The 12,728-nt window shown below is 37.4% G+C and overlaps 1 protein-coding gene across 7 annotated transcripts in view; it reads left to right on the top strand.

Moving 5' to 3' along the window:
- BRWD1 (bromodomain and WD repeat domain containing 1) overlaps positions 1-12,728 on the top strand; it is a 137,037-nt gene that overhangs the window by 68,469 nt on the left and 55,840 nt on the right. For all 7 annotated transcript variants that reach the window (XM_017028373.2, XM_011529611.2, NM_018963.5 and 4 more), the window contains 2 exons: positions 1,855-1,948; positions 4,912-5,043. In XM_017028373.2, coding sequence (XP_016883862.1) covers positions 1,855-1,948; positions 4,912-5,043 — 226 coding nt within the window. The remainder of the gene's footprint in view (positions 1-1,854; positions 1,949-4,911; positions 5,044-12,728) is intronic.

Raw genomic sequence — 12,728 nt, 5'->3', positions numbered from 1 at the left:
CAAAGAACCTGGATAAAAATTGGTATTGTGTTTCTAAGGAAGAAAAGGAGAACGGCAGCTAGCTATCTGCCATAATATAATTTTCACAAAAAAGAACATAGCTCTTTCTAGCATTTTATTCTAAAAGAAAGCTCATGTGAAATTTTATAAAGGCGATAATTGATTGAGATGTGGTGATCATTGCCCATGACAACAGTTCCAATAGTGGAAACAAGGGTGAATTTTTCATAACTGTATGTTAGGATATCATTTGATAAGGATGAAGAGTATTTAAAAATTTGTTTTCTGACTATAAAAGTTTGTGTCCAATGTGAAAAATTGGAGTAATAGATATAAAAGCATAAAGGTAAATGACAGCTGTGCAGAGCTATGAGCATATAATGTTGCTTGCCAGTATAAGTAATTCTTTTTGTGCCTAGGATTCAGGCACGTAGTTTGTCTTGATCCAATAACGGTAGAAATTCTATTCATTATAAATTTTTTTTTTTTTTTTTGAGACGGAGTTCTGCTTTTGTTGCCCAGGCTGGAGTGTAATGGTGTGATCTTGGCTCACTTCAGCCTCCACCTCCCTGGTTCAAGCGATTCTCCTGCCTCAGCCTCCAGAGTAGCTGGCAAGCCCAGCTAATTTTTTGTATTTTTAGTAGAGACGGGGTTTCATCATGTTGGCCAGGCTGGTCGTGAACTCCTGACCTCAGGTGATCCATGTACCTTGGCCTCCTAAAGTGCTGGGATTACAGGTGTGGGCCACTGCGCCCGGCCGTATAAAAATTCTTTTATATACACTCTATGATCTTTGCTAATACCACTTTTCTTAGCTGACCATCTCATTAGGAGTAAAATTGCATGCAGCTGAAAATGATACCTATGTCAAGTGTTCCTTTGTTTTATTGATTGAGAATCAATTGTATGTATTGCTTTATTGTCAAAGGGAAACATACAGATATCAGGTGGGACTTTCATTTGGCTGCAAGCTGAAAATCTCGTTATATGGTTCCTTAAACACACATAAAGCAGTGAAATTGACAACCTGTGAAAGGTTGAGTCTGCTTTAGAAATCCCCGCTGGATAAAATAATGTTCTACTGTAATCTTGAGTGTGGGCTGTCTGGCGTACTTAGAGAAAAATGCAGTGTTCTTAAAAATCAGTTTTTATCCTTACAGCATTTACTCTTACACTCTGTTGAGTGTCTAGTTATACCTTGGAACATGGCCAAGATTTCAGTATAAATCTTTTTCCTTTGAGATGTTAAAGTAAACAAAAACATAAAAGCCACGTGTTTTTAATAATGTTCCAGTTGGAGAAAAGGGACAGTCAGTCTTTTCCAGAGAAGAAAAATGATTTTTAGTACCTTCTTCTTGGTGGCAGGTCCTTTGCTTTGAAATTGGTCACAATAACATAATCTTTTTGTTGTATCATGTGAGTGAAATATAGGTGATTAGAAAAACCAGTAACATTGCTATTCTTGTTTTCTATAAATTATCAAACATAGCTTGAATAAATGTGGAGAAGGCAGACTCTGCTTATTTTTTCTTTAGAGAAAGGAATTGCAATCTTGGAAAATCATGAAGACGTTTTGAAAAGCTATTATGGGAGATTCTGTTTGAATTGGTCCTGATAGTACCAATCAGAAAACGAATGAATATTTTTGCCTCTGATATGAAAAATAGGTTTAACTGCCTCTGAGATTTTATTTATATTCATATAAATTTTTAACATGTTTTAACTTCAGAGATTTTGTGTATTTTTAAAGTACATAAACTTATGATTTATAGAATCACACTGGTTTTTATTCTTTATATCCTTTAGTTATCCATCAGTTCAGTAGTTAATATAACTGGGTATTTAAATTTGTAGGAAGCTGGAAGACTTCCGATTAGAGAAAGGTGAAGAGGAAAGAAATCTTTATATAATAGGAAGAAAAAGAAAGACTCTTCAGCTCTCACATAAGGTAACCTAAATTCTGTTTTCTTAGCAAATTAGAAATTACATTGAAATATAGAGTTTTCTTTTTGATTTATAAAACTATCAGTAACTTTCATCTGAAGTGGAGTATTTCTTGCTTAAGGTTTTCTGTTTGAGATTTAAAATAGTAGACTTAAGGTTATATAGCTGTTAGAAAGGAGTAGTTTGAAAACTTGAGAAAAATTGCCTAGTGCCTAACAATGGTATTGAGTTCTTAATTTTAGTTACTAAATTATTTGATTCTGAATTGTCATTTGGTTCTTCTTTTTTTTTTTTAAGGGCTCTCAGTTTTCTACTAAAATTCTCATTGTTTTAATTACTTGGAAAGCAGCCATAGCTATTTTAAAAACAGGTCTGGTAATTTCATTTTTTTCAATGTCTTGCTTCCCTGTGGACCATTTTCTATTGCCTGTTGATTTTTCTCCTTTTTTATCATCATATTTTTGTTTCTTTTTTGATTGTTAAATGTTAGAAAAGATTTGAAGCACAGGATGGCTTTATTCCCAGAGACGATTTACATTGACTTCTGGCAGCCTTCTGGGGCCACTCTCAAGCCTTATTGCCTTATCCGAACAAGAATGGGCCTTAGTTCCTTGGGATTACTGTTCTATCTGTAGTTTACCTACAGGTCTAGGCTGTAGCCTTTTGGGCTAACAGCCAAAGCCCGAGGGAGTCCCCTACATATAGGAGGCCATGAATTGCAAGTTTATTAGCCTAACTCATGAGTTAGTCTGTGATTTTGCTTACTTGCTAAACCTTCCAGCTTCCTCTTCCAGAATGAAATTCTAGGGTTAAAATATATATATATCTATGTGTGTGTGTATACACACACACACACACACACACACACACACACACACACACACCCCCCTTCTTTTTTTGATCTTGGTTCTGTGATTCTTCATAACCTTTTAAGGCATAAAGTGCCTTTAAACAGATTTGTTAAAAAATATGTTTTACCAGATTTTCTAGTTTTTCTTAGTGAAAGTTTGGCCCACCTACATGTTAACCTATTATCACTCGTGAAACTCATTAATACGAGTTTTTGCCAAAATCAGTACTGACAAATTAAGGAACATTCAGTTCATTTTAAGATCATCCAGTGATAATGTTGAAATTCTAAAACTGACCAGTGCTCATTAGACAGATGGCCACTCATGTGAAAATTGATTTGTGCATAAATGTAAGGAATATGTGCTCTCATTGGGTAATCTCATCTGCTTTTGTGGTTGGGGAATGGCATGCCTTTTAAAAAAACTAAAACCAATATAGTTACTTTATTTGGCTGATTTTGAATGATTATTCTGTTTTGATAAAAATATATTTAAAACATTCAGAACTGAAAAGCACAGACAACAAATTATGTAAACATTAAAAACCTGAAAATACACATACTTACAGTTAATATTTGAACATTAAAAAGAAAACTTTTAGCTTCAGGGGTATATGTGCAAGTTTGTTATATAGGTAAATTGCGAGTCATAGGGTTTTGGTGTATGGATTATTTTGTTACCCAGATAATAAGCATTGTACTTGATAGGTAGTTTCCCGGTCCTCACCCTTTTTCCACGTTGTGCCCTCAGGTAGGTTCTGATGTCTGTTGTTCCCTTCTGTACTCAATGCTTGGCTCTCACTTGTAAGTTAGAATATGTGGTACTTGGTTTTCTATTCTGATGTTAGTTCACTTGGGATAGTGGCCTCCAGCTTCACCCATGTTGCTGCAAAGGACATGATCTCGTTTTTTTTTTATGGCTGGGTAGTATTCCATAGTTTATATATACCATATTTTCTTTATCCAGTCTACCATTGATGGGCATTTAGGCTGATTCCATGTCTTATACTATTGTGAATAGTGCTGCAGTGAACATAGGTGTATATATGTCGTTATGGTAGAATGAGTTCTTTTCCTTTGGGTATATACCCAGTAATGGGATTATTCGGTGGAATGGTAATTCTGTTTTAAGTTCTTTGAGGGATCATCAAACTGCTTTCCACAGTGGTTGAATTAAGTTACAGTTTCACTAGCAGTGTATAACCATTCTCTTTTCTCTGCAACTTCACCAGCATCTGCTATTTTTTGATGCCCTCCACCCCCCAGTGTTTTTTTTTTTTTTTTTTTTTTTTTTTTTTTTTTTTTTTTGGGAGATAGGGTCTCACTCTTGCCCAGGCTGGAGTGTTGTGGTGCAATCATGGCTCACTCACTGCAGCGTCAACCTCCTGGGCTTGAGTGATCCTCCCCCCTCAGCCTCCCTAGTAGCTGGGACTGTAGCTGTGTACCACCATGCCCAGCTAATTTTTCGTTTTTTGTTTGTTTGTTCTTGTTTTTGTTGTTTTTTAGGGGCAGGTTTCTCCATGTTGCCTGGGTTGGTCTCGAACTCCTGGGCTCAAGTGATCTGCCTGCCTTGTCCTCCCAAAGTGCTGGAATTACAGGTGTAAGCCCCCGCGTCTGGCCTTGACTTTTTAATAATAGCCATTCTGACTAGTGTGAGATGGTATCTCATTGTGGTTTTGATTTGCATTTCTCTAATGATTAGTATGTTGAACATTTTTTCTTTACACCTATGTATAGAGATAGTGAGAAATTCCTTGAGAAGTTGCTTACTGCATCATAATGTACGAATATGTATTTTTCATTTCTGAGATGTATACTTTTAAGGTGACATCCTTTTCAGATTATTGTTATTTTCCCTCATTCGTGGTAAACCAGTTAACTTACAGCATAGTTTGGAAAATGCCCATCTAATGTGCATTTTCTCATGTTTTCTAAGGACCTTAAAAGTAAAACTACTAAGCTTGAGTTAAAACTGTATGGCAAAAATGCTACCTTCTTTTTAAGCCTTTTTTTCTTTTTGCTTTAAATCCTTCTGGAAACTTGACGGAATGCCCATTTTGTTGATATTGTCCTTATTTAGGTGTTGATTTTCATTCGCATGTTTTTCTGTGTTTCAGTCGGATTCAGTGGTTTTGGTATCACAGTCTAGACAAAGGACATGTAGGCGTAAATATCCAAATTATGGTAGAAGAAATCGTAGCTGGCGTGAGTTATCTTCTGGAAATGAGTCTTCAAGCTCTGTAAGACATGTGAGTGGAAAACTTTAAAATGTTATAAGATAATCTTAAATGAATTTGGCTTAATTCTTTACTTTGAATGAATATACCCCAAATTTATATGAAAACACAGCATTCTGCAGAGATTAATATGAAATTTCACATTTTGAATGTTAACAAAAACTTTTAATGGCTAAGATAGTCACATACTGTATACTTGTGCAATCCAGTGGTTTTACATGTTGAGCATCCCAACTCAGAATTTTGAAATGCACCAAAATCTGAAACTTTCTGTATATAAACATGATGTTCTAGTGTGCATTTCAGATTTTGGATTTTTGGATTTGGCATGCTCAACCTGTAAGTGCAAATGCAAATTTTCCAAAATCTGGAAAAATACGAAATCTGAAACAATTCTATTCCCCAGCGTTCTGGATAAGGGGTATATAACCTGTAGTATATTGACAGAGTTGGGCCATCGTCACCTCTATTAAATTTTAATACATTTCATCATCCCTAAAAGAAACCCTATTCCCATTTACAGTCACTTGCCAGTCCCTCCCTCTCCCCCAGCCCCTCACAATCACTGATACATTTTCTTTTTCTGCATTTGCCTGTTCTGGACATTTTATATGAATGGGCCCTTTTTTTTTTTTTGAGACGGAGTCTCGTTGTCTTGCCTGGCTGCAGTGCAGTGGCGCGATCTCGGCTCACTGCAACCTCTGCCTCCCGGGTTCAAGCGATTCTTCTGCCTCAGCCTCCCGAGTAGCTGGGGCTACAGGTGAGTGGTGGCCCAGCTAATTTTTGTATTTTTAGTAGAGAAGGGGTTTTCACCATGTTGGCTAGGATGGTCTGGATCTCTTGACCTTGTGATCCACCTGCCTCGGCCTCCCAGAGTGCTGGGATTACAGGCGTGAGCCACCACGCCCAGCCGGACGGGCTCTTAAAATATGATTTTGTGACTGGCTTCTTTGACATTGCATAATGTTTTCTCTAATGATTAGTATGTTGAGCATTTGTGTAGCATGTATCAATACTTCATTCTTTTTTTACTTTTTATTGCCTAGTAATTCTCCCATTGGATGTACCACATTTTGTTTATCCATTTATCAGTTGATGGACATTTGTATTGTTTCCACTTTTTGGCTGTTATGAATAGTGCTGCTTATCAACATTCATGACAGGTTTTTGTTTAGACATATGTTTTCATTTCTTTTGGGTCACGCTAGGAGATGGTATGCTGGGTCGTATGGCAAGTTTTATGTTTTAACTTTTTGAGGACCCTCCAGACTCCTTCAGATTGGCTCTACCATTTTATATTCCCACCAGAAATATGAGAGTTCCAGTTTCTCTACATCCTCACCAATGATTGTTATTATTCCATTTTATTTATGCTATCTTAATGGGCGTGAAGTGGTATCTCTTGGTTTCAGTTTGCATTTCCCTAATGACCAGTAATGTTGAACATGTTTGATGCTTCTTCAGATCTTTTGCTTATTTTTCACTTTTTTTGGGGGGTCTTTTTATTGTTGTAAGAATTCTTTATATGTTCTGGATACAGTCCTTTATGACTTGTAGATATATTACTTGTAGAATTTTTCTCCCATTCTGTGGGTTGTCTTTTCACTTCTTTGGTGGTGTCTTTTGAGGATGAAAGTTTTAAATATTGATGACATTCATTTTATTTTTTCCTTAGTAGCTTCTTTTACTGTTGTGTCTAAGTCTTTGTTTAATATCTTTGATTGATTTTTAATAATCATATGTAAGCTATTTGTCTTCATTTTGATTTGTTTGAGGGAGAAACCAACTTTTTTGGTAAAGAGTATTTAATAGGCCGGGCACGGTGGCTCATGCCTGTAATCCCAGGACTTTGCGAGGCCAAGGTGGGCAGATGACTCCTGAGGTCAGGACTTCAAGACCAGCTTGGCCAACATGGTGAAACCCTGTCTCTACTAAAAAGACAAAATTTAGTTTGACGTGGTGGTAGGTGCATGTGATCCCAGCTATTTGGGAGGCTGAGGCAGGAGAATAGCTTGAACCCGGGAGGTGGATGTTGCAGTGAGCCGAGACTGCGCCACGGCACTCCAGCCTGAGCATCAGAGCGAGACTCTTGTTTCAAAAAAAAAAAAAAACCAAAAAAAAAAGTATTTAATACTACAGTGTTAAAATTTCCTGACTGAGTAATGTTTTGAGGAATGAAGTATTAGATATGACTGAAAAGTTCATTTAATTGTCTTATGATGCAGTAGGTTAATAATTAAGCATGGGGTTTGAGTTTAAATCCAAATTCTTTTACTTTGTCATGTTGCTTAGCTTTTCTGTGCCTCTGCCTATGTAATATGTACTTCAGAGGCGTGGTAACATGTACCTCAGAGGTGTGGTGAGAATTAATTTAATCAGTAATGCAATGTGTTTAAATAGTGCCTAATACACAATAATGTTAGCTACGATTATGATTAAAACCATCTGTTTAAACTGTTTTTATTTTTTTGAGACAGGGTCTTGCTCTGTTGCGTAGGCTGTAGTGCATGGTGCAGTCATGGCTCACTGTAGCCTCAAACTCCTGGGCTCAAGCTGTCCTCCTCCTTCAGCCTCCCAAGTAGCTGGGATTAACAGGCACCAGCCACCCTGCCTGGCTAAACTATTATATTATGTAATGAGAATGTTTTTACATTCTTTTTTTTTTGAGATGGGGTCTTGCTCTGTCCCCCAGGATATAATAGGAAATAATTATTTTATTATCTGTCATTTTTATGCTGGTTGACCTTTTTCTCTTTTCTTTTTCTGCATATATATATATATATATATATATTTCTTCCAAAGTTTCTATATGTAACTTACATTGTATGACTTAAGCAATTGGATAGTCAGGTTGTATCATGGTTTGGAATAAAGGGTTATATATAGACTTTGCCTTTGGGAGGAAGGTGTAGTATCCTAGTCTGGAAATAACTATTTTACCATGCAGCTCTGTTCCAACCTCTCCGCCTCAAGTACCTTGAATTTGCCCAACACAGTAGACATGGGATGGTTTCCTTTGGGAAAACTGTTACGTAAGGTCATTCTAGAAAGGCTAGGGTGGTATGTAGTGCCATTATCATTATTGATGTGGAAATACATTAATTACTGTCAAGGATATACAAAATCATACAATCAATATGTAAAAAGTGCTATAAAAGGGCTAAACATTAATGCATTTTATTATGCCTGGGAGGCACTATTCTAAATGGTTTACACGTTATCTAATTTCATCATTCCAACAAGTAGGAATTCAGGCACTCTTATAATCTCTTTTAAAAATGAGGAAACTGAGGTACAGATATGGAGGTTCAGTAACTTTCCCACATTTATATAAAAAGTTAGCAGCATGGGCCGGGTGCAGTGGCTCATGCCTGTAATCCCAGCACTCTGGGAGGCCGAGGTGGGTGGATCACAAGGGCAGGAGATCAAGACCATCCTGGGTAACACGGTGAAACCCCATCTCTACTAAAAATACAAAAAATTAGCCAGGCATGGTGGTGGGCACCTGTAGTCCCAGCTGCTAGGGAGGCTGAGGCAGGAGAATGGCATTGAACCCAGGAGGCAGAACTTGCAGTGAGCCGAGATCGCGCCACTGCACTCCAGCCTGGGCGACAGATCTCAAAAAAAGAAAAAAAAAAGTTAGCAGCATGATCTCAGAGCAGAAACCCTGCCTTACCGAAGCATCAGTTCACTTGAGGATTTGGGGAAATTAAACTTAAAAAAAAATTTATTGAATGCCTCCTATCTGTCAGGTGTAAATTTTTTATTTTGATGTAATTTCAGACTTGAAAGTTCTAAGAATAATAAAAATTCCTTTGTGTTTACCACCCTGACTGTTATCACTCTCCTGTATGTATGAATATGTTTTAATCCTTTTGAGAGTGAGTTGTACATATGCCTCTTGATATCTACATATTTCCTTGTGTATTTTCAAAAACAAGTGATATAATTATCAAAATCAGGCTGGGTGCAGTGTCTCATGCCTGTAATTCTCAGCACTTTGGGAGACTGAGGTGGGAGGATGGCTTGAGCCCAGGAGTTCGAGACCAGCCTGGGCAATACGGGGCAAGCCCTCCTCCACAAAAAAATGAGAAAAAAAAAATTAGCTGGGTGTGGTGACACACCTGTAGTCCCAGCTTCTCTGGAATCTGAGGCAGGATAATCACTTGAGCCTAGGAGGTTGAGGCTGCAATGAGCCTTGGTTGCGCCAGTGTAACTCTAGCCTGGGTGACACAGTGAGACACTGTGTCAAAAAAACAAAAAATGAGGCAATAAACAACAATATAATGTCATTATCAGATCTGCAGATCTTACTCAAATTTTACCAGTCAATGGTCCTGATAATTTTCATAGCAAAATAAAATCCTGGATCACGTGTTACATTTTGTTGTGTCTGTTTAGTAACCTGAATCTAGTCTAGTTCCTTGATTTTTGTTTTAATGTTGATATTTTTTGATGATTTATGACTGGTAATTTTGATGATTAGGGTCATGCATTTTTGGCAGTAATATGACAGAAAATATACTGTTCTTCTCAGTGCATCACATCAGAAAGCACATGATTTGTTTTGTCCCACTACTGGTGATACGTGCTTTGATCACTTCCTAAGGTGGTGGTGTTTGCAGGTTTCTCTATGGTAAAATTACAGTCTTGATTGTTGGATTTACTCCTTGATCCATGGGCTGCAGAATGGATGTGGTGTTAGCAGGCATGAAAACAACATTAATCTCCTTTGATGTGCCCATCAGAGGTCTTGGATGGCTAGGTCTATTGTCCACAAGCAGTAATATTTGGAAAGGAGTCTTCTTTTTCTGCTCAGTAGGTCTGAACAGTGGGCTTACAATATCTGGTAAACCATGCTGTAAATGATGCTGTAAATAGATGTGCTGTCACCTAGGCTTTGTTGTTCCATTTCTTATGCTCAGGCAGAGCAGATTTAACATAATTCTTAAGGGGCCTGAGATTTTTGAAAAGGTAAAAATGAACAGTGGCTTCAGTTGAAAGTTACCAGCTGCATTAGCCCTAACAAGAGAGTGAGCCTGTCCTAGAAGCTTTGAAGCCATAAGTCCCTCTAGCTGTGAAAGTCTTAGATGTCATCCTCTTCCAATAGAAGGCTATTTATTTCATCTGCATTTAAAATCTGTTATTGTAGCCACTTTCCTTGATTATCTTAGCTAGATCTTCTGGATCACTTGCTGCAGGTTCTCCATTAAAGCACTTGCTGCTTCACCTTACACTTTTATGTTATGGACATGCCTTCTTTCCCTAAACCTCATGAACCAACCTCTGCAAGTTTCCATCTTTTCTTCTGCAGCTTTGTCACCTCTCAGCCTTCATAGAATTAAAGAGAGTTAGGGCCTTGCTCTGGGTTAAGCTTTGGCTTAAGGGAATGTTATTGCTGGTTTGACCCTCTATCCAGACACCAAAACTTTCTCTATATTAGCCGTATGGCTATTTTGCTTTCTTACCATTTGTGTGTTCACTGGAATAGCATTTTATATTTCTTGGAAGAACTTTTCCTTTGCATTCACAACTTGGCTACTTGGTGCAAGAGGCCTAGCTTTTAGCCTGTGTTGGCTTTCACCATGCTTTCCTTACTAAGCTTAATCATTTCTACATTGCGAGTTAAAGTAAGATATGTGTGACTCTTTCATTTTTGAATACTTAGAAGCTATTGTATGGTTATTAGTAGGTCTAATTGCAATATTGTATCTCAGGGAATAGACTGGAGCAGTCAGAACACACATGGTATTCATTAAGTGTGCTATCTTATATGAGTATTGTTCCTAGTGCCCCCAAAACAATTAGAATAGTAACATCAAAGATCATTAATCACAAATCACAGTAACAGATACAATAAAAATGAAAAAGTTTGAAATATGGTAATTACTAAAATGTGACATAGAGACAAGAATGAGCTCATGCTGTTTAAAAATGGCACCAATAAATTTACTGGGTTCAGGGTTGTCACAAAACTTCAATTTGTAAAAAACACAACTGTGAAGCACAATAAAGTAAAGCACGATAAAAAGTATGCCTGTGTATACATATTATATGCAGACACATGTATTTTTTTGTCTGTATATCTGTCATTGTTATGCACGACTTCACATTATTCTGATTTTAATGATACCCGTTTGTACTTCCCTTCTGTACAGAGAAACCTGGCTCCTGTTATTTATTTAGATTTTTAAATCTTTTTTTTTTTTTTTTTTTTTTTTTTTTTTTTTTTTTTTTTTACTTTGGAGATGGAATCTTGCTCTGTTGCCCAGGCTGGAGTGCAGTGGCACAGTCTTGGCTCACTGCTACCTTCACCTCCTGGGTTCAAGCGATTCTCCTGCCTCAGCCTCCCAAGTAGCAGGGATTACAGGCATGCATCACCACACCCGGCTAATTTTTTTATGTTTTTGGTAGAGACAGGGTTTCACCATGTTGGCCATGCTGGTCTTGAACTCCTGACCTCAAGTGATCTGCCCGACTTGGTCTCCCAAAATGCTGGGATTACAGGCGTGAGCCACCATGCCCAGCCCTGTTATTTATCATAAACTTATTTGTTTAATTCTACATACACAGAAAGTAGTTTAAGATTTACTAGGCTGGGTGGCTGAAGGCTGTCTCTACAAAAAATACAAAAAAAAAAAAAAATTAGCTGGGCGTGGTGGCGGGTGCCTGTAATCCCAGCTACTTGGGAGGCTGAGACAGGAGAATCGTTTGAACCCACGAAGTGGAGGTTGCAGTGAGCCGAGACAGTGCCACTGCCCTCCAGCCTGGGTGACAGAGTGAAACTCTGTCTCAAAAAACAAAAAAAAAAAGATTTACTTACCCTGTGGTAAAAACCCTAGTATGTAGAGTTTAGTTATTTACTTACTGTTCTTTTTTTGTCGTTAACCAAATTGTATTTAGTACAAATATTTCAAAAGTTATTTATCCTTCTTATACAAAATACAGCATACTACAGATAGTCCCACACTTGACATTTTTCACTTAAAATATCTTTGAGATCACTCCATATGATCCTTATTTGTTTTAAGAGTTATGTAGTACTTTATGGCATGATTGAAACAGTTTATTGAATCGTTCTCCTGGTTATGGGCAGTTAGGTTGTTTCCAATGTTTACATTATAAATAATGCTACAGTGAATAATATTTTGTATACGTATTTTTGTACTGCTAGAAGTGTCATTTGGGGATATATTTATTTGATTTTTTCTTTTTCTTAGGGACAGGGTCTTGCCCTATGGCCCAGGCTGGAGTGCAGTGGTGCAATCATAGCTCACTGCAACCTCGAACTCCTAGGCTCAAGTGATTTCCCAGCTTCTGACTCTTGAGTAGCTAGGACTACAGGCATGTGCTACCATGCCCAGTTAATTTTTTAACAAATTTATAATGACATGTATCCACCATTATAATATCACACAGAATGATTTTACTGCCCTAAAAATCCTCTGTGCTCCATCTGTTCATCTTTCTCTTCCCAACAGCCCCTGACAATCACTGATTTTTTGTCTTCATAGTTTTATCTTTGTAGAATGCCATGTAATTGGAATCATATAGCTAGTAGCCTTTGCAGATTGGCTTCGTTCATTTATTAATATGCATTTACATTTCCTACATGCCTTCTCATGGCTTGATTTTTTTGTTTGTTTGTTTGTTTTTTTTAGCACAGAATAATATTTCATTGTCTGGATATACCATAG

The sequence above is a fragment of the Homo sapiens genome, chromosome 21, assembly GCF_000001405.40.
Source record: "Homo sapiens chromosome 21, GRCh38.p14 Primary Assembly".
NCBI lineage: Eukaryota > Metazoa > Chordata > Mammalia > Primates > Hominidae > Homo > Homo sapiens.
This window is presented reverse-complemented; position numbering and strand designations above follow the sequence as displayed.